The 27543-nt window shown below is 39.5% G+C and overlaps 3 protein-coding genes across 8 annotated transcripts in view, besides 6 other annotated features; 1 reads left to right on the top strand and 2 right to left on the bottom strand.

Annotated features, from left to right (window-relative positions):
• Positions 1-6229, bottom strand: part of NDUFB5 (NADH:ubiquinone oxidoreductase subunit B5) — a 22854-nt gene extending 16625 nt beyond the window's left edge. For all 3 annotated transcript variants that reach the window (NM_002492.4, NM_001199958.2, NM_001199957.2), the window contains exon 1: positions 6084-6229. In NM_002492.4, coding sequence (NP_002483.1) covers positions 6084-6207 — 124 coding nt within the window. In that variant the 5' untranslated portion in view covers positions 6208-6229. The remainder of the gene's footprint in view (positions 1-6083) is intronic.
• Positions 5362-6228: an enhancer, noted in NCBI's record as "H3K27ac hESC enhancer chr3:179322583-179323449 (GRCh37/hg19 assembly coordinates)". NCBI's record gives its function as "activates a minimal SCP1, AML or CMV promoter by ChIP-STARR-seq in primed H9 embryonic stem cells {active_cell/tissue: H9 hESC(primed)}" and the evidence as "EXISTENCE:reporter gene assay evidence [ECO:0000049][PMID:30033119]".
• Positions 5362-6303: a biological region, named in NCBI's record as "H3K27ac hESC enhancer GRCh37_chr3:179322583-179323449".
• Positions 5644-5733: an enhancer, noted in NCBI's record as "active region_20870". NCBI's record gives its function as "activates an Ori minimal core promoter by ATAC-STARR-seq in GM12878 lymphoblastoid cells {active_cell/tissue: GM12878}" and the evidence as "EXISTENCE:reporter gene assay evidence [ECO:0000049][PMID:35858748]".
• Positions 5764-5923: an enhancer, noted in NCBI's record as "active region_20869". NCBI's record gives its function as "activates an Ori minimal core promoter by ATAC-STARR-seq in GM12878 lymphoblastoid cells {active_cell/tissue: GM12878}" and the evidence as "EXISTENCE:reporter gene assay evidence [ECO:0000049][PMID:35858748]".
• Positions 6104-6303: an enhancer, noted in NCBI's record as "active region_20868". NCBI's record gives its function as "activates an Ori minimal core promoter by ATAC-STARR-seq in GM12878 lymphoblastoid cells {active_cell/tissue: GM12878}" and the evidence as "EXISTENCE:reporter gene assay evidence [ECO:0000049][PMID:35858748]".
• Positions 6229-7095: an enhancer, noted in NCBI's record as "H3K27ac hESC enhancer chr3:179321716-179322582 (GRCh37/hg19 assembly coordinates)". NCBI's record gives its function as "activates a minimal SCP1, AML or CMV promoter by ChIP-STARR-seq in naive and primed H9 embryonic stem cells {active_cell/tissue: H9 hESC(naive and primed)}" and the evidence as "EXISTENCE:reporter gene assay evidence [ECO:0000049][PMID:30033119]".
• Positions 6377-22738, top strand: MRPL47 (mitochondrial ribosomal protein L47). 2 transcript variants are annotated; one of them, NM_020409.3, is made up of 7 exons: positions 6385-6496; positions 8226-8371; positions 9233-9293; positions 12252-12348; positions 17128-17258; positions 18284-18379; positions 22028-22738. In NM_020409.3, exons 1-7 carry the CDS (start codon positions 6399-6401, stop codon positions 22149-22151), a joined length of 753 nt encoding a protein of 250 aa, NP_065142.2. In that variant the 5' UTR covers positions 6385-6398; the 3' UTR covers positions 22152-22738. The 2 variants fall into 2 exon arrangements, with proteins under 2 accessions (NP_817125.1, NP_065142.2); NM_177988.1 differs by lacking the exon at positions 8226-8371 and having other exon boundaries at positions 6377-6496; positions 22028-22558.
• ACTL6A (actin like 6A) overlaps positions 22616-27543 on the bottom strand; it is a 25482-nt gene continuing 20554 nt past the window's right edge. For all 3 annotated transcript variants that reach the window (NM_178042.4, NM_004301.5, NM_177989.4), the window contains exons 13-14: positions 24391-24477; positions 22616-23093 (exon numbers count right to left, since the gene is read on the bottom strand). In NM_178042.4, the coding sequence (NP_829888.1) occupies positions 23013-23093; positions 24391-24477 (168 nt within the window). In that variant the 3' untranslated portion in view covers positions 22616-23012. The remainder of the gene's footprint in view (positions 23094-24390; positions 24478-27543) is intronic.

The raw sequence follows: 27543 nt of genomic DNA, 5'->3' as shown, positions 1-27543 counted from the left end.
CCAAGAGTCACATATCCAATAAAAAAAACTCAACCTTTACTTTTCTGCCAGTTCCACCTATTAAAACTATCCCTATACTTCAGTTAAAATGCCCCATCTATTCCATGTCTGGATTAACTCCACAGCACTCTGTTTATACATCCATATTAATACTCTTCACATTTTTAAAAACCATAATTTATGCATATCAGTCTTCAATTATAAATTAAATTTACCTGCAGCTGAGGGGAGAACTTAGCTCATTTCTGGAATTACACCATCTTTGATGTTTAATAAATAATTTAATTAAACAGAATAGCTTTATCTGCTAATTTTCTGAGAAAGGTTTACAGAGGGTGATGAAGAACATGACAGCACTAGATCTTTAGGAAGGATGAGGCTATAGGAATTTGTAGAAGGCTAATGCCAGGACTTCAAAGGCACAGGCAAAAAAAGAAAAACTAGACAAACTGGACTTCATGAAAATTTTAAAATTTTGTGTCTGAAAGGACGCTATCAGCAGAGTAAAAAGGCAACCCACAGAATGGGAGAAAATATATGTAAATCATATATCTGATAAGGGATTGATTTCAGAACACACAGAAAACTCAACAACAACAACAACAAACCAAACAATCCAATTTAAAAATAGGCTGGGCATGGTGGCTCATTCCTGTAATCCCAGCACTTTGGGAGGCTGAGGTGGGGAATTTCTTGAGCCCAGGAGTTTGAAACTAGCCTGGTCAACATAGCAAGATCTCATCTCTACAAAAAACTTAAAAAATTAGCCGGGTGTGGTGGTGTGCACCCGTCATCCCAGCTACTCAGGAGGCTGAGGCGAGAGGATCACCTGAGTCTAGGAGGTTGAGGCTACAGTGAGCTATGATTGCGCCACTGCACTTCAGCCTGGGTGACAGAGCAAGATCCTGTCAAAAATAAATAAACAAATAAATAAAATAGGCAAATAGCCTGGCAGAGTGGCATGTACCTGTAGTCCCAGCTACTTGAGAGGCTGAAGCAGGATTGCTTGAGTCCAGGCGTTCAAGTTCAGCATGGGCAACATTAGGGAGACCTCATACTCAAGTTAAAAAATAATAATATAATAAATAATAAGCAAAGGATTTGAACAGACATTTCTCTAAAGAAGATATATACACAAATGGTCAAGAAGCACACAAAAAGATGCTCAACAAAACTAATTAGAGAAATGCAAATCAAAACTACAATGATATCATCACATACCCATCAGAATAGCTACAATCAAAAAACCAGAAAATAACAAGTGTCAGTGACAATATGGAGGAAGTGGAATCTTTGTACACTGTTGGTAAACAAAGGAATGTAAAATGGTATTGTTGCTATGGAAAATAGCATGAGGGTTCCTCAAAAAATTAAAAACAGAATTACCATATTGTGGAATCCTAGTAAGATACATAAGCAACAAGGAAGGGGCCCCAGGTGGAGGAAAGCAATTCTGCTGAGACACGGCTAATCACAGGCAACCCACAGGCACAACATCCTGTTCCCAAATACCTCGTTCAACACATAGCCCCAGTAGAGTGACCTTATCTGCACATCTTCTCTGCTCATAGCCCCTTCAGTATGACCCTATAAAACTTCCCTCCAGTCCCTGACTCTGCAGATAGCCCCTTCTCTGCTGTGCTGCCCATTGTTCTCTTGCAACTCTATCTTCGTATTTTCTCTAATAAATCTGTCCTCTGTATCTATGACTGTCTTGGTAAATTCTTTCACCACCCACAATGCCAGTCCCAGCCAGTAACACCCATGACACACATGACCCAGCAATTACACTTCTGCAGATATACCCATAAGAATTGAAAGCAGGGTCTCAGAAGAGGTATTTGTATATCCATGTTCACAGAAACATTATTCACAACACAAGTCATACTCAATGTCACTGATGAGTTCTTGGAAACTGTGACTTTAAGTGAAACCACATACAGCAGGTCCTTAAACAACATCACTTCCTTCTTTATTATAGGTTCTGACGGTCGCAGTTTCAAGAGCCAATGATGTTAAGTGAAGCTTTACAGTAATTAAAATCTGCAAGTGCTTCGGTGTAGTGGCTCACAGCTGTAATCCCAACACTTTAAGAGGCCAAGACAGGTGGATCACTTGAGGACAGGAGTTCGAAAGAATTCTTAACAGAACCCATTTAGGATTAAACAAGTTTTTGTGGGTCTGAAGAAACTCCCCAGGCCTCCACAAACAAGTTGACTGGAGGTCTGAAGGAACTTCCCAAACCTCCGTGATTTAGCAGGAGATAAGATAAGGGTAATCACCCCAGCACCTGGATCCATTTAAATTAAGTAAATTTACTAAGGCTCCAGAGGAAGGTCCTCAGGACTCAGACCTTAATTATAGATTTTAAAAAGTTAGTCACTTTTGTCTTTAGATAAGTGCACACTTACATGTAGACATATAGCTTAAAAGGTCTACAAGCTCTGGAAAACTGTAATTTTAAGTTGGTCTGGCGATAATTTCCAGGACTTCTCCCTGTAACCAGTTACAGGAATAAAAACTCTCTTCTGGCAGGGCGCGGTGGCTCATGTCTATAATCCCAGCACTTTGGGAGGCCAAGGCGGGCGGATCACCTGAGGCCGGGAGTTCAAGACCAGCCTGGCCAACATGGTGAAAACCCATCTCTACTAAAAATACAAAAAATTAGCCGGGCATGGAGGTGTGCACCTGTAATCCCAGCTACTCAGGAGGCTGAGGCAGGAGAATCGCCTGAACCCAGGAGGCAGAGATGGCTGTGTGAGCCAAGATCGCGCCACTGCACTCCAGCCTGGGCAACAGAGTGAGACTCTGTTTCAAAAAAAAACAAAACAAAACAAAAAAAAAACTCTCTTCCTCCCCAGTTCATCTGCATCTCATTATTGGATGGCAAGAAATAGCAGCCTGACCTTCAGTTTGATATGAGAACACGGGAAGCCAGGGGTTGCAGTGAGTCAAGATGGTGCCACTGCACTCTAGCCTGGAAGACAGAGCAAGACTCTGTCTCAAAAACAAAACAAACAAACAAACAAACAAAACCTAGATGCAACCCAATTGACAGATGATGGATAAGCAAAATGGGGTAAATACATACAATGGACAACGGACAATTCAGCTTTAAAAAGGAAGGAAATTCTGACATATGCTACGACATAAATATGCCTTGGGGATATTATGCTAAGTGACAGACAAATATTATATGATTCTACTTACATGAGAAATAGAGTAGTCAAAATCATAAAGACAGCAGAATGGTGGTTACCAGGGGCTACGTGGAAGGGGAATGGAGAGTTATTGTTTAACGGATACAGAGTTTTAGTTTTACCATATGAAAAAAGTTCTGGAGTTGGATGATGGTGATGGTTGCATAGCATTAGGAATGTATTTAATACCACTGAACGGTGCACTTAAAAATGGTTAAAATAGTAAATGTTATGTGTACTTTACCACAATTTTTTTAAAGGCTACTGCTGCCAGGCACTGTTGATTTTTTCCACTCACTCTTCACAACTACCTTTTGAGGCAGGTTAAAATTCTCATCTTTTTTAAAGAGGAGGAAATGCAGGTTATGAGCAATTAGGTGTCTTCCACTTTAGCTTCCAAGATGTGATGATCACAGACATGGCTTCTGAATTCTAGAGCCAGAATTTGAAGATAGGCAGTCTATCTCCAGAAAAAACAAAACAAGACAGGCTCTCTACTACATTAGAGCTTACATTCTTGTAGGGACAGATATAAACAACCATGTAAGAGATTAAAAGCTTTCATATCACAGTGACAGATGCAAAATACCTTTGAAAGCAGGTACACAGCTGAAAACACAGTAACCTTTAGTAAACATAGCTATTAGAACCTTCCCTGCTCTGATTGGAAAGGGCGCAGAACACGGTAATGATCCTTTGAGAACCCCAAGAAAGGGCAATAATGTGGAAAGAGAAACTGGGGGTGAAATTTTGCTGCAGTTTATCTCCAGCTGGATTTGATTGAATACTACCAGAGCGAGTATTTGAAGGATTTGTATTTGGCTATATGAGAATATCTGTAATCAGAAATGGCTTATAAAGGGATTTTCATCAAGGAATGTAGTTTTGTAACAAGTTCAAATTCCTGCTGGAAATTTGTTAAATACCACTGGTTCTTTGCATCATGTTTCCAGCAAATCCCTATGTATATTGCCTCATCCTGTGGAGTGGCATAATTCAAATTAAACTGGGAGAATAGGGGTAAAAAGAGAACAAGATATTTTGAGGCTGGAGACAACTTTCTGACTTTAAGTGTTTCACTTCCTCTTTACCTGCTTCTATTGCACAGGGCAAATAGCTTACAGTATATATCTAATGAAGAGGATTAAATAAATTAATACTTTAAACCCTTAAAATGATGCTTGAGGTCAGGTGGGGTGGCTCACGCCTGTGATCTCAGCACTCTGGGAGGCCAAGGCAGGTGGATCACGAGGTCAGGAGTTCGAGACCAGCCTAGCCAACATGATGAAACCCCATCTCTACTAAAAACACATAAAATTAGCCGGGCATGGAGGCGTGCAACTGTAATCCCAGCTACTCAAGAGGCTGAGGCAGGAGAATCGCCTGAACGCAGGAGGCAGAGGTTGCAGTGACCCAAGATCACGCCATTGCACTCCAGCCTGGGCAACAGAGCAAGACTCCGTCTTGAAAAAAATAAAAATAAAAAAGGATGCTTGACACGTAACAGGTGCTCAGTAAATGTTGGCTATTATTTAGTGACACATTATTTAATAATTGAGTCAGTTTCCTCATCTGTAAAATGAAAATAACATTGTAATTTCTTTGCAGAGTCTCTGAGATAATAAAGTACACTGAATATCAAGCATTTGATCTTTGCTATGATTATTCACACCGCCATGATGCAACTCACTGTCTCCAAGGAGGTCCAAATAGCCCTATTAAGACTGTATTGGTCAGGTGCAGTGGCTTACGCCTATAATCCCAGCACTTTGGGAGGCTGAGGTGGGCGGATCATTTGAGGTGAGGAGTTCGAGACCAGCCTGGCCAACATGGTGAAACCCCATCTCTACTAAATATACAAAAATTAGCCAGGCGTGGTGGTGTGCACCTGTAGCCTCAGCTACTGGGGAGGCTGAGGCGGGAGAATCGCTTGAACCCGGGGGGTGGAGATTGCAGTGAGCCAAGATGGTGCCACTGCACTCCAGCCTGGGTGACAGAGTGAGACTGTCTCAAAAGAAAAAAAAAAAAAGACTGTATTATGACTTTCCTGAGACCTAGGCACTTTTGCCTTCAAGGGCCCCTTCGTCTAAGTTATTAAAAATAATATTTTATGACTGCATTGGTATAAAACGAACATAATACAGGCTGGATTCGTTATCATATTCATAAACATTATGGTTTTTTTAAAAAAGAAATTTAAATTAAAAGACTTTCGTAGACCCCTAAAACTATCATGGGTTCAGGCAGGAGAATCGCTTGAACCCAGGAGGCGGAGGTTGCAGTGAGCCAAGATCGCGCCACTGCACTCCAGCCTGGGCAACAGAGTGAGACTCTGTCTCAAAAAACAAACAAACAAAACAAAACAAAACAAAAACCTCTCTTCCTCCCCAGTTCATCTGCATCTCATTATTGGGCGGCACGGTACTTACTGTGCCTAAAGAATAAGTTGGCCCTGAGCCTCTTTACCTGTCTACATATTACCTGTCTTCATATTCCTTAGCATAGGTGGGCTTCTCGGCAAGATGACTTTGCATCTGTGGGACTAGAACCTAGCCTTTGGGCAGGTGGAACGCAACAATAAGCTTGTGCCCTAGAGATACAGATCTCAGCTCTATACCTTTCTAGACTCAGCTTCATCCGCAAATTAGCATTAATTGGGATGGTGAATAACAACGTTTTAGAAATGCTAATAATGTAAACACGATCTATCTGGCTACTTCAGGAAAACCCCTCATATAGCTCGTGCTCCGTCTCTCCTGTCAAGCCCCAAGCCCACAACTTGTCCCGGCTCCCTCCGGATCCCACCAAGGTCACCCTGGAAGCGTCCTCCCTTTTCTCGCCCCGCACCCGCTTCACGCCCGTTCTCCCTAGGCCAGCACCCACCAGCAGCCTTCGGAAAGCCACGAGTGAGGAAGCCCCCAAATCCGAGGCGAGTGCCAAGGGGCCGGCCAGACAGAGCTGCCACCGCAGTAACCGAAACCCGCCGCAACAAACTCATGGCCGCCATGGCTACTACGGGCAGGAGGAAGAAGGGAGGCGGGTCACGGAAGCTGAGAGAGCCAATTTACCAATGAGGACAAAGGCAGGATGTGGCCATCTTAAGTGAGGGCAAGTTTTCTATTCTCCTCACCGCCGGCTTGAGACGCCGGAAGTGACGCTATCGTTGGCGGAAACGCGTTTTGCCAGTTATGCGAAAACATGGCTGCGGCCGGTTTGGCCCTTCTTTGTAGGAGAGTTTCATCCGCCCTGAAATCTTCCCGATCGTTAATAACTCCTCAGGTCCCTGCCTGCACAGGGTAAGTGATGTATAAAGTAGGTTTGCCCACCTCTCCAACTTTGGATCTTGTTTGGTTGCCGAGATGCCGAGATGCCGAGAACAACTCAAGAATGGAACGGCCGCCTGGATGGCAGAGCCGGAGCCCACTTTGGTGAGGAGTGAGTGACCTTGGAGAAGTCGCTCACCTCCGACATTTCTATTCCTTCCTCATTTTGTTGCTGCCTGCTGTGGACAAGACAGTATATGGGGTTTGTAGATGTCCAGCATTTGTTGAAGTAAATACATCTATAAGTACAGAAGCATCCTCTTGGGCTGGGTGAGGTGCGAAAAACTTTACCGAAGATGTTTTTGTTGTGATACTCAAGTCTGTGTCAAGTTTGGATGGATTAAAAAAGAAGAGATATTTGTATTTACAGGATGTGTTACAATGAAAGTAACTGGTAACTTAGTAACTTCTTTTATTTATTTATTTTTCTTGGTCCTGGATCCAGTGAAGTATCCATTTATTACATTGGTTGCCATGACTCTTTAGTCTCTATCCGGAACAATTTCTTTTTTTTTTTTTTCTTAATGTTGTTGACATTTTGATGAGATTAGCTTTTTAAGAATCTTATTCATTTGGATTTGTCTGATTGTTTCCTCATTATAAGATTTAGGCTAAATATTTTTGGTAGGGATACAACACTTGTGATAAACTTCATTATTTAGTTTCAAATCATCTCAGGTCGTTAACTATTTTTTAAAAACAGGATTTTTGAATTACTGCATAATAATTTATCATCCAGATGCACAGTAATTTTTAAACCATTCTTAGCTGCGTATTTACATAATTAAAAACTTGACATCCTATATAGTGCTTTAATAAACATCTTAATTTATAAATTCCCATCTATAATAATTTTTTCAGTTGAAACTTCTAGATGCAGAATTACTGAATTAAAGGAGGAAGTATTTGAGGCTCCTGATACATGTTGCAAAATTGTGAGGTTTTTTTGTTTTTGTTTTTTGAGACAGGGACTGACTCTGTCGCCCAGGCTGGAGTGCAATGGTGTGATCTCAGCTCACTGAAACCTCTGCCTCCCAGGCTCAAAGCGTCCTCCCACCTCAGCCTCCCGAGTAGTTGGGACTATAAGGCACGTGCTACTATGCCTGGCTAATTTTTGTATTTTTGTTAAAGATGAGGTTTTGCCATCTTGCCCAGGCTGGTCTTGAGCTCCTGGGCTCAAAGTGATCCTCCCACCTCGGCCTTCCAAATTTCTGGGATAACAGGTGTGAGCCACCGTGCCCAGCCCACATGTTGCAAAATTGACTGCTCTTTTTACCTGCGCTTGCACCCATTAGCAATGTAAGAAGGACCCAAAAATGTTACCTTAAAATATAATTGTGTAACTATGTTACCTCTGAAATTATAAGGTAGCAGCTTCTATAATGCAGTATTAACAATACTTTCTAAAGCATTTTCAAAATTTATTGTGGCCAAGCATGGTGGCTCATCCCTGTAATTCCAGCACTTTGGGAGGCCAAGGTGGGAGGATCACTTGAGCCCAGGAGTTCGAGACCAGCCTGGACAACATAGTGAGACCCAGTCTCTAAATAAGAAAAAAAAATTAATTCTTGTGCAGAAACCCTGAGTAGCTTTTTAAAATGTTATCGATGACAAAATGATTATGTTTATTATGATAATGTTTATTGCTTATAAAATCCAGATATTATAAAACTTTTACTTGTTTATGTGTGTTCAATTGCAGGTTTTTTCTTAGTTTGTTGCCTAAGAGTACACCAAATGTGACATCCTTTCACCAATATAGATTACTTCATACCACATTGTCAAGGAAAGGACTAGAAGAATTTTTTGATGACCCAAAAAACTGGGGGCAAGAAAAAGTAAAATCTGGTGAGATACTTGGATTTGTCAACATTAGATATATTTATGGAACCCCCCCCCCCGCCCCGCCCAACCATCGTTCTAGGATTATATATCCAGTTTAGGAATTATTTAGATGTTTCCTTTTTCAGTTTTCTTTGAGACTGTCTACTAGAGAAAATTAAAGGGACAATATAATAGTAGAGTTAATTGTTCCTTGGCAGATTGGCAAGATGGTTAGATAAGGAATAGGCTGAAATTATTAACTAAAGTAAGGTTTAGGGCTTATTTTAGATTTTATTTTTTAATGATAATTTAAAGTTTGTTTATTTATTTAGAGATGGAGTTTTGCTCTTGTTGCCCAGACTGGGGTGCAGTGGCACAATCTCAGCTCACCGCAGCCTCTGCCTCTCGGATTCCAGTGATTCTCCTGCCTCAGCCTCCTGAGTAGCTGGGATTACAGGCACGTGCCACCACGCCCGGCTAATTTTGTATTTTAAGTAGAGACAGGATTTCGCCATCTTGGTTAGGCTGGTCTTGAACTCCCAAACTCAGGTGATGCCCGCCGTCTTGGCCTCCCAAAGCGTTGGGAATACAGGTGTGAACCACCGCCCCAGTTAATTTATAATGACAAAGTATTTTGTCATTAGGGTGTGAAAATACGTTCTGTACTAATGCTAACATTTTTTGAATGCTATTGCCAGTCATGTTAATAGTATTTTCGTATGTTACCTAATTTATCTCTAATTACACATTGTTATATACTATAAAAAAGCTGTTATATATTTTACAGATAAAGAAACAGGTTTAGACAGGTTTAGAGAGCTTAAATAATTTGCCAAAGGGCACATGGCTAGAAATGTTATTTCATGTTATGTATTATTTTAATAGGAGCAGCATGGACCTGTCAGCAACTAAGGAACAAAAGTAATGAAGATTTACACAAACTTTGGTAAGTATACTAAGTACATTAACATCTAGACGTTTGAAGCCGTTATAGTGTAACAATGAGGTGAAAACAATCTATCTGATATAAGAAATTGAGTAAAGCGATTTCTTTTGTAGTACTATGGATGATAAATCTGATGTTTAAGATCATGAAAGATTTTATATGACAGAGGTTAGATTATGACAAATGTCACAATTCTCAAGTAGTTGGGAATTCAGAAATTTTACTGTAATTTACATTGGTCCTACTAACATGTTTATACTAGCAATTTCAGTTAATTAATAAAATGAAACAGAGAATAGTTGGTGGCTTTTGTTTTTTTCTTTGAGACAAGGTCTCGCTCTGTTGCCCAGGCTGGAGTGCAGTGGTACAGTAACGGCTTACTGCAGCCTTGACCTCCTGGGCTCAAGTGATCCCCCACCTCAGCCTCCTGAGTATCTGGGACCACAGGTATGCACCACCACACCCAGCTAATTTTTTTGCGTTTTATGGAGAGGGAGTCTCCCTATGTTACCCAGGCTGCTCTCACTGGGGCTCAAGTGATCCTCCTACCTCAGCCTCCCAACATCCTGGGATTACAGGCATGAGCCACTGTGCCCAGCCATTGGTTATATTTAAAATTCTCTCCTTTTTATTACATTTTCATGATCTGTAATCTTTAGTGTATTTGCTTTGGAAAGGTGTGTTGGAGGATGCATTTAATTGAGAATTTAGGTAGATTTTTCTGGCAGGCTCTGATGAATTAGGGTTGAGAGGATTTAAGACAGGGTTGCATTTTTAATGTACTATATGTAGCCCAAAGATATGTTTTGTTTGGACTGTAATTGTTTTTTAAATTGGGAAGTTTCACACAGAAAATATTATTTTTGTCGGCTCTTGAATAATGAGACCTGTGATTTGGCAACACCGGCCCTGCATTCCTACATGGCAACAACTTGGCTGGTGTGTGGAGCAACTGCCCCTTCTAGATGGAGCAGGGACACACCACTTCTCGGCCACCCTGTGGTTCTTTCACTATGTCTACTTCCTTCATAATTGTTATCTGCCTAGGGACTCTAGTAGACATTTGCTTTTTTTTATTTTATCTTTTTGAGACACAGTCTCACTCTGTCACCCAGGCTGCAATTCAGTGGCGTGATCTTGGCTCACTGCAACCTCCACCTCCCAGGTTCAAGCAATTCTCATGCCTCAGCCTCTCAAGTAGCTGGGATTATAGGCTCATGCTGCCATGCCCAGCTAAATTTTTGTATTTTTAGTAGAGATGGGGTTTCACCACATTGGCCAGGCTAGTCTTGAATTCCTGACCTCAAGTGATCCGCCTGCCTTGGCCTCGCAAAGTGCTGGGATTATAGGCATGAGCCACCGTGCCCAGCCAACATTTATGTTTGTTGATGTAAAGCATTGTTTATCTTTCATGACAAATTAAAGAATTGTGAAGTGTTTATGAAAACCACTGATACTATGTTTATTCATTATAGAAAAATAAGTTGTATTAAAGCACTATTAGTTACTGTGGGTTATCAGTGAAAGGATAGTTAAGGCTATTTCAACATTCATCATGGCTGCAACCAACTAAAGTTATGCCATTTCTCTTTTTTGTTTTTTTTTTTTTGAGACAAAGTCTCGCTTTGTCGCCCAGGCCGGAGTGCAATGGCACGATCTCAGCCCACTGCAACCTCCGCCTTCCATTCCAGGTTCTCCTGCCTCAGCCTCCTGAGTAGCTGGGATTACAGGCACGCACCACCATGCCCAGCTAATTTTTGTATTTTAGTAGAGACGGGGTTTCACCATGTTGGCCAGGCTGGTCTCGAACTCCTGACCTCAAGTGATCCACCTGCCTCGGCCTCTGAAAGTGCTGGGATTACAGGTGTGAGCCACTGCACTTGGCCCCAACTCGTATTCCCAAATAGATGTATTCAGAAAATCTGCCTTCACTTTAGCTCTGCTGCTTCAGTACCTTTGATTATGTTTGCTCTGCTCTCCCTTCTATCATAAATTCCATCTCTATGACTCTTTCCCTGGTCATCTTAGCTAGAAGAGATGTTTCTCATCTCCCCCACTTAATTCTTCTGGTACTTATTGCCTGTCCCACTTATTATCCCACATCACATTACAGTTTCAGAAGCAGCGTGGTGGAGTTAAAATAGAATGGATTTTATACACAGAGATCAGGGATTTGAATCTTGAATTACCTGTATGACCCAGAATACCTTACTTCTCTCAGCCTTAGCTTCTTCGTTAAGTAAGTGGAAATAATACCAACCTCAGAAGGTGGTTGTGAAAACTAGATGAAATAAGTGTATATAAAATGTTTAACACATTGTCTGGCATATAATAGGTACTCAGTAAATGTTATTTATCTTCCATCTGCCTTCTCTACTCTCCACTCAGAATGTAAGGACTATGTTTTATGCCTCTTTGTAGCTCTCTTAGCACTTAATACATGTGGCAAATGGAAGGTTTATTGAACACATGGATAAGCAAAGATAGTTTATGTATAATGGATTATTCTTTGTAATCATATTCTATATATTGAGATTTCTAATATGTCTTTTTTTTTTTTTTGAAGCAAGATCTCACTTTATCCCCAGGCTGGAGTATAGTAGTGTGATCTTAGCCCACTATAGCCTCAAATTCCTAGGCTCAAGCAATCCTCCTGCCTTAGTCTCCCAAACAGCCGGGGCTACAGGTGTGTGCTGCCATGCCCGGCTAATTATATTTTTTATTTTTTGTAGTGATGTTTATTTTTTCTAGCTGTGTTGCCCAGGCTGGTATTGAACTCCCAAGGTCAAGCGATCCTCCTACCTCAGCCTCCCAAAGTGCTGGGATTACAGGTGTGAGCCACAGCACCTCGCCTCTAAGTGACTTTCAAGTACAGATAATTAATTTTGATGTCAGAAATCACAACTTTATTAACATAACCACAGAATAGCATCACAAGGTTTGTGTTCTTTTGTATAGGTATGTCTTACTGAAAGAAAGAAACATGCTTCTAACCCTAGAGCAGGAGGCCAAGCGGCAGAGATTGCCAATGCCAAGTCCAGAGCGGTTAGATAAGGTAAGGATTGGGAGAGGCTGGAGACTGGTATACATGATTACAGCTAAAAGGAGTGAGTATGTGGTTCCTGTATTTCTTGTCAAATAGATTTTTTTTTCTTATTCGTTTGATTTTTAGTAAATTTGAGTAGTGCAACCATCATAGCTCCTTTGGAAACATTTCCATCGCCCCTAAAAGAAATCTCATACTCACCTGCAGTCATTCCTCATTTCTACCTGCAACGTGTTTTTTGTTTTTTTTTTTTTGTTTGTGTGTGTGTGTGTGTGTGTGTGTGTGTCAGTGTGTCAGGTGGGTCTCACTCTGTCGCCCCCAGGCTGGAGTGCAGTGGTGTGATATCTTGGCTCACTGCAACCTCCACCTCCCAGGATCAAGCAATTCTCCTGCCTCAGCCTCCCAAGTTGCTGGGATTACAGGCACATACCACCATGCCAAGTTAATTTTTGTATCTTTGGTATAAATGTGGTTTCACCATGTTGGCCATGCTGGTCTCAAACTCTTAACCTCAAGTGACCTACTCACCTTGGCTTCCCAAACCTACCTGCAACTTCTAACATACATGTGGACAAATGTTTTTGAGTAGATACCTAGGAGTGAAATTGCTGGCTTATATGATAAATCTATATTTAGCATTTTAAGAAACCGCCAAACTGTATTCTAAAGTAGCTATACCACTTTACATTTGTAGTTCTGGTTTAACCATTTCCTTAGTAACTAGATCAGTTTTTTACTGCTTTTTAAAATAACTGTGGTAAAAATCACATAACATAAAATTTACTGTCTTGACCATTTTTAAGTGTAATAGTCAGTAGTGTTTAGTATATTTACAATATTGTGAGAAGTTGGTTACTTTTTTATTTTATTTTTTTGAGACGGAGTTTTGCTCTTGTTGTCCAGGCTGGAGTGCAATAGCACAGTCTCGGCTTGCTGCAACCTCCACCTCCCGGGTTCAAACGATTCTCCTGCCTCAGCCTCCCAAGTAGCTGAGACCACAGGCACACACCACCACTACTGGCTAATTTTTTGTATTTTTAATAGAGACGGGGTTTTACCATGTTGGCCAGGCTGGTCTTGAACTCCTGACCTCGTGATCTGCCCGCCTCAGCCTCCCAAAGTGCTGGGATTACAGGTGTGAGTCATCGTGCCTGGCCGAAGACTTAGGTTTTTATTTAGATGTATGTTTTTACTCGATGCTTTCAAGATCAACCCTTTATTGATTTTTTTCTGTGGCATAGTAAGTAGTGAGAACAGAACTCAGTTTTTATAATAGCATTAGTCCTGCTACCTAACCTTAGCTACTTTAGTTTCCTTTCCTCACACCAGTCGCAGCCATTTTTACCACACTGCCTTTAAGATGGAAGGACATAACGATCCCTGGAGAAAATCAAAGAAGGTATAAAATGAAACCTCATTGATTTACCCTAATTATGGAGAAGGTTATTCTGATGTAGTGAAAGTTGAGTTATATAACATTTTTTTCTTTTATCTTTATTTTGACATAATATTAGACTCACAGAAAAATTACAAGAATAGTAGAAGGAATTCTCATATACCCTCCAGATTGCTCTGTTTTACTGCATTTACCTTATCCTTCTATGCATCTATCAGTCCTCCATACACAGTATTTTTTCTCAAATGTTTGAGAGTAAGTTGTACACATGACATCCCTTTATCTATAAAAACTTCAGAAAAACCAGGATATTCCCTTATATAACCACTATGTAAATTTCAAAATCAGGAAATTAACATTGATACAGTTCTGTTAGCTGTAATCTACAGATCTTATTCAGAGTTTGTCAGTTATCCCAAGTGTCCTTTATGGCAAAAGAAAATTCTGCATCATGAATTTTCATGTGTCTCTTCAGTCTCCTTTAATCTGGAGACTCAGTCTTTGTGTTTCCTGACATTGAACTTTTTTAAAAGTATAGGGCCTGGGAGGTTGAGGCTGCAGTGAGCCACGATTGCACCACCAAACTCTAGGCTGGGTGACCGAGCAAGACCCTGTCTCAATAAATAAAAAATAAAAAGTGCATTGACAAGTAAGGATGCTTTATAAAGAACACGTTATTTGATGAAAAAGCTTTTGCTATAATGGTGCTGTTACAGAACTTTTGAACTTCAACCGTGGATTATCTGCTTTAAATATGTATTTCAGAGGTGAACTTCAGCCCAGTAGGTTATATGTACTGCACTTTCTCAATCAGTAGAACCCAAAATAATAAAAGTTTACTCCAGAGAAGCTGAAAGTGACCATAATTTTTTCAAACTTCATATACATCTGGTGTTTCCAGTGTTTTGTGACATACTACTAAGGAAACTTTATTAAGCAAAAATGTAAAAAAAATTCTCAATATAAGATAGAAACCGAAGATTTGGAACTGTTTAAGGAAGAGTAAAAGAGAAAAGAATTATAATTGGGATATAATTCTTATCACTGATGTGAGTTGATATCCAGTTGAAGCATATTACAGACAAATTTTACTTAGAGAATAATATAAAAATTAAGGGAGAAATTATATAATTCTGGCACAATAGTTAGCTATGATTGTAACTAAAGTATTAACTATCCATTTGAGATAAATGACCCTCACTATATGTGCTTCTCTTCAGAGTATTAGTATCTATTTATCACACAAATAAATGACATGTTAGTCCCCTTGTGTTTGAAATACAGAAACAAGGCAAATGTTGAAAGATTGATTATAATTTTGCAAGTGTATCTTTTTGTCTCTTTTAAAAACATGTGTTTCAAGGGCTACTCTGTAATGTTAATTCTTGGCTGTAAAGAGAAGTGTATACTCTTACCCTGGAACACAGTCCTATTTTATATTCTCTCAACTGACGCTCCTGGCACTGAGAAACTTATAGAAAAGAAGGCTCTTTGAGGTTGACTTGTTTTCAATAAGGTATATCTAAATAATACTTTTGATTTTCCTTCACATTTCTTGGCATGAACTTCTGAATGTTAATTCTGTGGACTTGGTAGCCATTTACTTTCTATCTTTGTGAGCTAACACTGGATTTCAGCTGGAAGCCTCAAGTCTTACCCTTGCTTAGGCAAACTCTTTAATGCAGTTAGTGAACAACCAGCTTTACTAAAAATTTCTAAAGATTAGAGAGTTTTATATAAAGCCCTTATCAATGTGGTCCCTTTACTCTCCTAAGTTTGCTTGTCTTCAAAATAGAATTTGTCTTAGTCATCATTTCTTTTTCAGGGATTTTGTAGAAAATAAAATAGTTAAGAGGAAGGCATGTGAATTCAGCTACTGTAAGGCATTTAGTGAAGTTGAGGATAGCAGAAGTGCTGAGTGTGAACTGAGCAGGTTATGGGCCAGGTGCAATGGCTCACGTCTGTAATCCCAGCACTTTGGGAGGCCAAGGCAAATAGATCACTTGAGCCCAAGGAGTTTGAGACCAGCCTGGGCTACATGGCAAAACCCTGTCTCTACCAAAAAAATACAAAAATTAGTCGGGTGTGGTGGTGCATGCCTGTAGTCCCAGCTACTTGGGAGGCTGAGGTGGGAGGATTGCTTGAGCCTGGGAGGCAGAGGTTGCAGTGAGCCAAGATCGTGCCACTGCACTCCAGCCTGGCTGACAGAGCTAGACCCTGTCTCAAAAAACAAAAACAAAACTGATTATGAAGTAATTTATCTAAATTTGTGGCTTTCATATCTTTTTCAGATCTCATAGCTACCTGGGGGATTATAATCTGTGCTTTTTTTGAGGATTCTTATGAGAAACAAATGTGCTTATGCAGTATTTGATATCTGTTGTGATGCTTAAGGGACATACACATAAAATGGCTCTCAGTATGTATTTAGGACTATGAAAAAGTTTGGCCCATCTCACATTACAATCCCCAACATATGAATATTTATATGTAAACAAATAGAAGGCCGGGTGCGGTTGCTCATGCCTGTAATCCCAGCACTTTGGGAGGCCAAGGTGGGCAGATCACCTGGGGCCAGGAGTTTGAGACCAGCCTGGCCAACATGGTGAAACCCCATCTCTAATAAAAATACAAAAAATTAGCCGGGTGTGGTGGCAGGTGCCTGTAATCCCAGCTGCTCAGGAGGCTGAGGCAGGAGAATTGCTTGAACCTGGAAGGTGGAGGTTGCAATGAGCCAAGATCACGCCACTGCGCTCTAGCCTGAGTGACAGAGCAAGACTCTGTCTAAAAAATATATATATGTATAAAACCCTGCCAATATATACATTATAAAACAATAGAAATCTTAAAGAGGTAAAAATAAATAGAAGTTTAATAGTATCATCTTGCATCTTGATAAATCTTTGGAGATTCATATCTGGATGGACTGCTATTCCTTTCCCTGTAGTAGCAACAGCTACCAAGCAGGCCACAATATCTGTGTCTGCATGTCAAGGACACAGTGATTAGTTGAGACCAGAACATGTCTTTTTTAATATAATGAAAATAGCAAATTATTATCACTTCTTATTAGCTCATTGAGTTTTGAAATAACATGAATCAAATTGGGTCTCCAAAAGGAATCTATGTAAGTGTATCTCACTCCAAACAAAACTAATGGAAATATATTTGTAGTTAAAACTGTAAGCTTTTTAAAAAATACAGAAAGTGGTAATCTAGACACCCATGTAGACATACTTGTGCCAAAAAGATTTTTAGGAAATACTTAACAGAGTGGTTCTTTGGCATAAATATTCATAAGTTTTCTGTAGCAGAAGTGTTTATACATTCTCTTTTTTGGGAATTTTGTAGTAGATGATTGTTGAAATTGTATCTTTCTATTCTCTTTTCAGGTAGTAGATTCCATGGATGCATTAGATAAAGTTGTCCAGGAAAGAGAAGATGCCCTAAGGCTTCTTCAGACTGGTCAAGAAAGAGCTAGACCTGGTGCTTGGAGAAGAGACATCTTTGGAAGAATCATCTGGTATGTAGTTAACACTGTGGCTCTTCTAAGATGAGAGTGGAAATCCATGCCTCATTCCCCTGCCCAATATCTTTTAAAAAAAAATTTGTACCATATGAGATAATATTAGAGATATGTCTAATAAAAGAAGAGGCCCCACACCCCTTTGGACTTTAATGAAGGAGGATATGAATGAAGGTAGCTTTATCTGGTAAAACCAGCCCAGACATCCCATTCCTATGATTCAGTTACCTATAAGTCTTTATTGTAGTGGTTCTTAGTCTTATATGAATCACAAGGCCTTTTGAGAATTTGATGAAAGTTAGGGATCGTTTCCTCAGAAAAATGTACATGTACACATATCACTTCAGAAGGTATAAAATCCATGAAGCTAACTTCAGGACACACACCTGCCCTCTTTGCACATTGAGAACCTGGAACTATTTTTTTTAAAGTCTCAGGGAATGTCACATGAACCAGTTTCAGTTTGCTCCCACTGCCATCAGGATAAGCCCTAGGGCAAATTATGAAGTAGTTTATTTTTTATACCTCCTTGTTTCTCCTACATTCAAATCCCAGAGTCTTGTCAGCCTTTGGGAAAGGATCTGGTAATCAGCCTTCATGCTGAGGTGTAAATAACTGAGAAGACCTGGTGTAAATAAACCTCCTTCGGTGGGGAGGCTGTTCAACCCAAAGGTAAATAAACCTCCCCTCAGAAAGAGGTTTATTTACCTTTGGGCTGAACAACCAAGATGAAATATCATTAGACTTTTAAACGTAGGCAGAATGGGGAAGGCATTTTGGTTAGAGACCTTCCCTGTACTCTTGACATTATACCACTTAACTCATAACTCATTCGGTAGGTTCTTTTAATGGGGTTTAAGTCCAACACAGAAAAGAGAAATTGCCAAAGCATCTCACTAAAAATGTTTATGTTTTATTTTCTACTAATTTTTATTTGGACTAACCCTTTTGAGGTAAATTAGGAAAGTGAAAATGTATTAAATGTTTTCTTTAAGGCAAATAACTTTTTGCTTTATTGGCAGGCACAAGTTCAAGCAGTGGGTTATACCTTGGCACCTAAATAAAAGATACAATAGGAAACGATTCTTTGCCTTGCCTTATGTGGACCATTTTCTCAGGTGAGCACAAGCACCTTTAATAAAACATATTATCTTTATACCAGATGACATATGGTCATATATCATACCAGATGACATAAAGAAAGCTTAAGCTGTCTTTAAATTTTAATTTCTGTTATTACATAAGTATTATAAAAAATAGGAAAGTCAGGCTGGGTGCGGTGGCTCACACCTGTAATCCCAGCACTTTGGGAGGCCGAGGTGGGTGGATCACGAGGTCAGGCGATCGAGACCATCCCGGCTAACATGGTGAAACCCCGTCTCTACTAAATATACAAAAAATTAGACGGACATGGTGGTGGGCACCTGTAGTCCCAGCTACTTGGGAGGCTGAGGCAGGAGAATGGCGTGAACCCGGGAGGCAGAGCTTGCAGTGAGCAGAGATCGCGCCACTGCACTCTAGCCTGGGTGACAGAGTGAGACTCCGTCTCAAAAACAAACAAACAAACAAAATAGGTAAAAAAGAAAATTGAAGTCATATATAAGCTCACCTTCAGAAATAGCCACAGTCAGCCAAGCGTGTTGGCTCATGCCTGTAATCCCAGCACTTTGGGAGGCCAAGGCAGGCAGATTACTTGAGGTCAGGAGTTTGAGAACAGCCCGGCCAAAGTGACAAAACCCCATCTCTACTAAAAATACAAAAATTAGCCGGCCATGGTAGCATGTGCCTGTAATCTCAACTACTTAGGAGGCTGAGGTACGAGAATTGATGGAACCTGGGAGGTGGAGGTTGCAGTGAGCTGAGATTGCACCACTGCACTCCAGCCTGGGCGACAGAGTGAGACTTCATCTCAAAAAACAGAAAAAAAAAAGAAATAGCCACTGTTAACATTGTAGTATGTATCCTTTCAAAAGTTTTATTGCCTTTCTATTCTTGTATCTATATGTAAATGGAAAAATTTCTACTGTTATGTTAAAATGAAGGTCCAAATAATTCAGTTGCATACAATGTGAGTTCATGTTATTGCAAGGCTGTTGAAAAGAAATGGCGCTAGGAAGAGAAGTCTGTTATATTATATCTAAACTCATGTTGTCCTGCAGAATGTTGATCTCCAAATATTTCCTTTAGCACATTTTTCCTGCATTAGGTTTATCATTGAACAGGGAGAACATAGGGCTTCTGTTATGATAGAGGAGTGCAGTGTTCCCATGAACCACTCACTGGTAACTATACAAACTTAAGATTTTTTTTTAAAGAGCTATTTTAAAACACTTGGGCCATATCCAAAAGGAGACAAAGCCAGAGGATATAGTTTAATCCCCAAAACTGCAATTAGAAGGGAAAAGTATTGCTAGTTTATGGTTTCCTGGGCCAAGGGTGCTATCCAACTCCCATTGCTGTGGCTCCAGAGAGAGACAGGGCAGAGGAACCGAAGGGCTCCTGGCTAAAGGTGCTAGAAATCAGAATTCAAGGCTGGGAAGGCAGCTGGAAAATTAAAGGGGAAATCATAGCAGCACGATAGCAGCACAAGAACCACAGCTTTTAACAACTCTTGAATAATACGTTCTACTTTTAGCAAGTTCCTCAGAAACCGATTTTCCCGCCCCGATTTTCATACCAAAACAAATTTTTAAAAACAATTTAAATAGGAATGGAATGTATCTTTAACCTTGGCTTTAAAGTGTTTAGTGTACTTTAGAATCACATTTAAAATTACTCATCTCCCTACTGAACCAGCTACCTCTCATTTTATCTGTAGTACATCCAGTCTACATTAGCCCTAAACCGTCAGTCATCTTTTTCATCACCATTGCTATATATTTAATCAGTCCTTGATTTAATTCTTGCTGCAGAATGTCTCCAGGATCTGTCTTTTCTTCTCCCATTGTCTTTGCCCTAGTGCAGTCTGTGTCTTCATCAAATTGAATTACCGAACTTCTTGACTCCAGTCCAATCAAGTATTGCTTCCTGGCTAATTTTCCTCAAGACTTTTTTTTTTTTTTTTTAATCACATCAGGCCTTTTCAGAAACATACAACAGCTTCTTGTCTACAGGACAAAATCTTAAACTCTTTTCCTCCCAGTATTCCTGCAAGTCTTAGCTACCTACCTTTCATCGAAGTCAGAACTCTTGCCTTGTTTCCTAAGTGTTCCTTGCTTATTTTCCACTGTTGCTTCTTCTGTTGCTACAGCTTTTAAATCTTTGCTATTCACATTTAAGACCTAGTTGAGATGCTAAGCAACTGAAGAAATCTGACCACTTTTTCTCTGAGATTGCTCCAAGCCCAGGGTTGTGCTGTTTGATCCTTTTGTCCCTTAGTCATACAGGGTGAAGTTATAAATCACTTTTTTTCTTTTTTTTTTTTGAGATGGAGTCTTGCTCTGTTGCCAGGCTAGAGTGCAGTGGTGCGATCTCGGCTCACTGCAACCTCCACCTCCCGGGTTCTAGCGATTCTCCTGCCTCAGCCTCCTGAGTAGCTGGGACTACAGGCATGTGCCACCACGCCTGGCTAATTTTTGTATTCTTAGCAGAGACAGGGTTTCACCATGTTGGCCAGGATGGTCTTGATCTCTTGACCTCGTGATCCTCTCACCTCGGCCTCCCTAAGTTGGGATTACAGGCGTGAGCCACTGCACCTGTCCATGACATAACTTTTAAAATAATGTATGAGAATGTATCAATCCAGTATCACTTTTACAGGTTTTATACATATTCTAATGATTTTGTTTTTGAAACTACCTTTTTAAGCCTCACCTTCAGAATGTAGCATCATCATCTTAATATTAAGAATAGCAAACCTTTATTCTTTCAGATGGGTCTTTGTTTTTGTAAATGGTCAAAATTTAGTTGGAGCAAAGACTGATGAATAGAATGGGTAATCTCATTTTGACTTTGTTCAGCCTTTATACTTTTTTTCCTATATATGTGCATATTTTTTACTTCATCCAGCTGTAATACGTGTTATCTCAATTTTCTATGACCTCTCCCATAGCACTGGCATATTGTATTGTCTTTTTTCCCCCCAAAACCTCATTTGTAATAACTTCAGCAGTACATCTTTATTGCTGTATTTTATATAAACTTATTTCTATTGACCAATATCCTGTAAGATATCAATTCAAATAGAGCTTGGTATGCAAGGATTTTTTTCATTTTCAATTTTTACAACTCCCAAGTTGACCCTACAGGTCAAGTAATTTATGTTGTAATTTATGCAGCAAATGTGTCATACCCTGGGATACTGATGTGTGGGAACAAACTCATTTAAAGAATAGTAAGTCTAGCCAGAGCCTAAGAATTTATTTTTGGCATCATGAGAGATATCCTGAGACTTATGGGAATTCCCTACTTTCAAATAGTACTCACTCTAGCTTATCATTTCCCCTATACACAGAATAACACTCTGCTAAGAGATGATGCTTAGTCATATGAGGATTGAACTTAAGGCCCAATTTGTTACAGGTTCATAATATCTGGACATTCTTTCTAGTCAGGAAATAGGGATAGTTGGTATAGGGTTTCAGATGCTCTTGACTTGTGTAGGTTTACAGTGATTACTATTCAAGTTTAATAATATATATAACACACCAAATACAGGGACTGGCATGTTTGAAGCTTTGATGTAATTGATTTATGCATATTTTGATAGTATTGAATAACAAGGAAATATTTTTGTATAAATTGCTGTTACGCTTTTTTTATTCTAGACTGGAACGTGAGAAACGAGCCCGCATCAAAGCACGGAAGGAAAATTTAGAGAGAAAGAAAGCAAAAATTCTTTTAAAAAAGTTTCCACATCTTGCTGAAGCCCAAAAGTCAAGTCTTGTCTAAGATGTCTGAACTATTAAATTTACCATTTTGTTTTTCTTGAATAGTCTGTGTACAGGAGTAAATATGTTAAGTGGTTTATAAAGAAATTCTGTTTTTAGTCAAGTGACTTTACTAATCAGTTGTTCTAAGTGTGAATATGGCATGCTAATTAGCTAATTTGGTAGAAGCTAATTTGCTTCTAAAAATCAGGTATAAAGTTCAGATGAGATTCCCACTTTATAAATTCTGACATTTAAGCAGGCTTTAAATGTCACCTGCTACCTTAGAGTGTGAAGGTGATGGTAACTGCCACAGCAAAGGCAATACCGTAGTTTTTGAATTTGAATAATAGTTTTACCTCTGTTGTTAATAGGCTATGAAGAGGATGTGGGTATTGCTGTTAATAAACGGAGGACTTTGATTCAAAATAATGAGAAATACATTTAGTCCTTAAAGTAGTAATCACAGTGCACAACAGTCCAAAATATATTTCTGGAATGGCTAATTTTTATTTAATTCTGTAAGCCTAAGGTAAAAAGCATAGGCAGTAACTTTTACTAGTCAATAAAAAGCAGTTCTACCAATCCACTGGTAATTAATACACTAAACAGAGTTGGAAAGCATTTTACTGAAAGCAAAATATTTAGAGAAAATAGACATTTATACAAAATTATAAAATGCTTGTAATAAGAATAAGTGCATTTCAAGGAAAGCACAAACTTAATTTATAGAGCCAGTTAAAGCTTTAAAAAATTTAAGTGGAAATTGAAATATGCAAAAATGTATAAACATTCTACAAAAGATGGTCATTCTTTTCCTGAGTATACTAAAGCTATGAAACGTAAGGTGACAAAAGGAAGGTAGAAGCTTGGGAACTCTTTCTCAAGGGCATTTTCTTTCTACACACTGCTTCCCTCCTTCTTCATATTCTTGCTTGGAAATCCACATCTGTTGAAAGGTACCCTGTAAAATGGAAAGAAATTTATATAATTATGCCTTACTTCTTACTAGAAATGGCTTAAAAAATTTTTTTTTTTTGAGAGAAGGTCTTGCTCTGTCAGCCAGGCTGGAGTGCAATGGCGTGATTGTAGCTTACAACCTCGAACTTCTTGGTTCAAGGGATGCTCCCACCTCAGCCTGGGACTCCAGGGGCATGCCACCTTGCCTAATTTTAATTGTTGTAGAGATGGGGTCTCACACTATGTTGCCCAGGCTGGTCTCATACTCCTGGGCACCTGTGATCCTCCTGCCTCAGCCTCCCAAAGTGCTGGAATTATAGGTGTGAGCCACTGCACCAGCGTTTTTTTTAATATCTTATTTTCGTAACTCCTAAACTTTGAATAATTCATTTAAGAGTCCCGTCCCCCAAAATAGTACTCGATTATTTCTGCCCTCCTCCAGAACCATCCAAACACACTATTTAGCCTTGCCTTTATGGTTAAAAAGAATACTAAGTCCTTCTGTATCTGTTACATTGTCAGGATTTAGAAAATATCTGGCAAGGAAGACTGAGGGTTTAGGTGTGATGGCTTGATGCCAACCTAAGGCAATAACAGAAACTGTCAGAAGGCTTGAATGAGTACTTAATGACATTTACTTTTGTTGCTCTGAGGTAAAGGGCATCCTCCCCCTTTATATACAGTATACATATATATGTATATAAACTGTATATATACAGTATATATGTATATACATAAGTAACTATATATACAGTATAGATATAAGTATATAAACTGTATATAAGGGGAGAAATGCTCTAAGTCCAGGATGCAGAAAAGTACAAGGACTTTTTGTCCTTATTCAAGGCAGATGGTAGTCCAAGCAACATCTTACACCCCGCACCATGACTTCACCATTTGCTCCAAGACCAATTCCTGACTTCCTAGACCTCACTGTAGATCTCACTGCAGACTGGGGAATGACCAGAACTTGAGAAGCAATGTTTTCATTTTAAATGCACTCCAGACAAGCCCTGACCAGTGCCAATGGGGGTATTATTAGAAAAGGCATGCATACATTAACATATTTCCACCTCTGTTTGAGAGGGGACATTGAAATTAGGCTGACAAATGTCCACTAATTAGGCAGAGGCATTTTGTTACATCAGAACACATAAAACTGGTTATTCCATTAGGTCTTCCACTCATTTGACAGTTATAAAATGCACAGACAAATGAAGCACTGGAATTATTTTTTGTATTTTTACTAAATTTAGTATAATTCAGTAAGAATATTTTTGCAAAGTAGCTCATCTACTAACCAAAGAGGCTAGAATGGAGCCGCCAATCCATGAGCTAAACCTCCGTTCCACTGTTGTATTATTTGCAATCAATTTCAACCGCATACTCTGAAATAGAAGAATATGCATTAGTACAATCAAATCTTGTGACTCAACTTAGAAAATTCTTTTTTTTTTTTTTTTTTTCAAATAGAGACAGGGTCTTCCTCGCCATATTGTCCAGGCTGGTCTTCACATTTGCACTCAAGCAATCGGCCCATCTCAGCCTCCCAAAGTGCTGGGATTACATGCATGAGCCACTTGCACCCAGCCAGGAAATTCAATTTTGACAGACTTCATAATGGCTCCCTGTGGTTCAAACACTGATTAAAATACGGTAATTTTGAAATAGCCAAGATAACAAGCATAGGTTAGACTAATGTACAGACTTTTAAAAGTACTTTGATTATGGCTTTTAACATGCGATTATATGATGAGAAAACATACAAACTTTAAAAAGCTGCATACTGAAGTATAGCATTCACAATTTCTATCCTAAAATAGCAAATCCACACCTAACACTATAAATCTGGTGCTGTGCTAAGTCTTTATTATTTCATTTCATCCAACACCAACCTAATTATCATCCCAATCTGTCTCCCTTTCTGTAGTCCTCCCCAACCTTCTAACTGCTTCCTTTCTAGGCTTTCATGCTATCCTAATCCCTCCTTAGTTCACCCCAACCCTTCTAAATAAAAACACAACCATCAGATATCAGGTTAGTTTTTTATTCATACTATTTCCTTCCAAATTAGTGCTTCTGTTCTGACTCTCATTTTCTCTTGATAACACAATTTTATTGCACAGTACTATCCCCTATATCTCACTTCCTATATGAAGAGGTTTTTTTCTTTCTCTTACCAAGGAATCTGCCTCTGGGGACAGTTCTCAAGTTGTTGACATCTTCCTATTATTCTATAAATGAACATATTTTTGGGGCTTTTCAAAGTGAAATAAGTATGTGTGCAGCAAGGGTGGGTAGAGTATGGGATATGGGTGGGTAGAAGGTACTGGGGATAGGGTAAACATGGGTTTTTGTAGGTAAGAAAGATTGGTAACTATTAAATAGAATTTTTTTCCTGTTCTTTCAGAGATTGTTATCACCTCCTAAAGGACAAGGATAGTTTCTAACTGGCCTTGACCACAGCTTGGGCCATGCTTATCTGTATTCATTATTCAGGGACTTTCTATGAAATCTAATCATTAGTATTATAGACCGGTGCAGTGGCTCACGCCTATAATCCCAGCACTTTGGGAGGCCGAGGCGGGTGGATCACCTGAGGTCGGGAGTTTGAGATCAGCCTGACCAGCACGGAGAAACTGCATCTCTACTAAAAATAAAAAATTAGCCGGGTGTGGTGGAACATGCCTGTAATCCCAGCTACTTGGGAAGCTGAGGTAGGAGAATCACTTGAACCCAGGAGGCGGAGGTTACAGTGAGCTGATATCGTGCCACTGCACTCCAGCCTAGGGGACAAGAGCAAGACTCCATCTCAAGTAAATAAATAAATAAATAAATCTCCAATCAATCAATCAATCTAATGATTAGTATTATAATTCAGGTATGCTCTAGATCTCCAAGAATTTAGAAAATACAAGGCAGATGTCAACTGTGTGCCTATATATTTAGATATCACTTTTAATAATAGAAATGTGGCACACGTAAAACATTATTTTATATGGGAAGCTAAAAGACTATTAAATATACAGATTTATAGATATTGTTAGGGCATATGTAACCACTAATAAGGTTTTTTAAATGTAATCTTCAGTGCAGAACACCTTACAAAAAAAGCACTTGAAGTTTTGTTGTTGTTGTTTTTTTTTCCTGAGCCAGAGTCTTGCTTTGTCACCCAGACTGGAATGCAGTGGCATGATCTCGGCTTACTGCAACCTCCGCCTCCTGGGTTCAAGCGATTCTGCTGTCTCAGCCTCCCAAGTAGCTGGGATTACAGGCACGTGCCACCGTGTCCGGCTAATTTTTGTTATTTTTTTTTTTTTTTGAGATGGAGTCTTGCTCTGTTGGAATGCAGTGGTGTGATCTCAGTTCACTGCAACCTCCACCTCCCGGGTTCAAGCAATTCTCCTGCCTCAGCCTCCCGAGTAGCTGGAATTAAGAGGCTCCCGCCACCAGGCCCAGCTAATTTTTGTATTCTTAGTAGAGATGGGGTTTCACCATGTTGGCCAGGCTGGTCTCCCTGACCTCATAATCCATCTGCCTCGGCCTCCCAAAGTGCTGGGATTATAGGCGTGAGCCACCACGCCCAGCTGATAGAAATTTTAAAGTTAAAAGATTATAACTGTCATTCTGTTACCGAAGTACTATATAAATTACCTTCTCAAACCGAGTTTTTCTATTCTTTTAAAAGTTATTATAATATACCCACTGATCTTTTTAAAACAAACATGAGCTCATCAGTCCACTGCTAGATTTTATCCTGTGAAGAAGGAGGTATTTTCCCCTAGAGATTCAGCATAGCTCCACTGACACCTTGAGGCTTCTAGCCTCAAGAACTATAAGACAACAAATTTCTGTTGTTTGAAGCCACTAACATGTACTTTGTTACGGCAGCTCTAGGAAACTAATCCATCTTTCTAGCCATATTGCTTTCCCCACTTACGTAAAGACTAGAAGCCAACTACTTTGAATTACTGGAACATACCTGTCTTCTCTTAGTATTTTTGTAAATGGTTTTATTCCCTCCATCTAGATATCCTTTCATAAATTAGCAATGAGTTGAACTATTCATTCAAACTATAGCTTCTTCAGGAGGCTATCCTCTGATACTCCTAGAGAGTTAAGTAGTGGCTTCTTGGTGTTCCCAACAGCACCTCGTTCATGACATACTGAATTGTTGAGCATGTTACAGTCATCATTTTCTGCATGTCTAACCATCCTAGTAGACTGAGCCCTTGGTGTGCAGGGACTAGTGCCTAGCAGACTATACATATTTAAATATTAATAAATGAGATTCAAATAATTTAAGAGAAACTAATAGATGTCAACTAGGAAAACGATTAAAGGATATTAACTTTAGTGATACTATACCAGGCACACACAAAATATCATGTATCTATTGAAAAATGGACGCTTATCTACAAAATTACACCATCAGTGAGGAAATATATGACTGA

The sequence above is a fragment of the Homo sapiens genome, chromosome 3 (assembly GCF_000001405.40).
Source record: "Homo sapiens chromosome 3, GRCh38.p14 Primary Assembly".
NCBI classification, from domain to species: domain Eukaryota; kingdom Metazoa; phylum Chordata; class Mammalia; order Primates; family Hominidae; genus Homo; species Homo sapiens.
This window is presented reverse-complemented; position numbering and strand designations above follow the sequence as displayed.

Excerpts from the sequence above, each read along its gene's own strand:
- MRPL47 (NM_020409.3), top strand. The coding sequence starts at position 6,399 with ATGGCTGCGGCCGGTTTGGCCCTTCTTTGTAGGAGAGTTTCATCCGCC. Across the intron at positions 9,294-12,251 it reads GAAGATTTACACAAACTTTG|GTATGTCTTACTGAAAGAAA; the intron begins GTAAGTATACTA and ends TCTTTTGTATAG. Across the intron at positions 17,259-18,283 it reads ATCTTTGGAAGAATCATCTG|GCACAAGTTCAAGCAGTGGG; the intron begins GTATGTAGTTAA and ends CTTTATTGGCAG.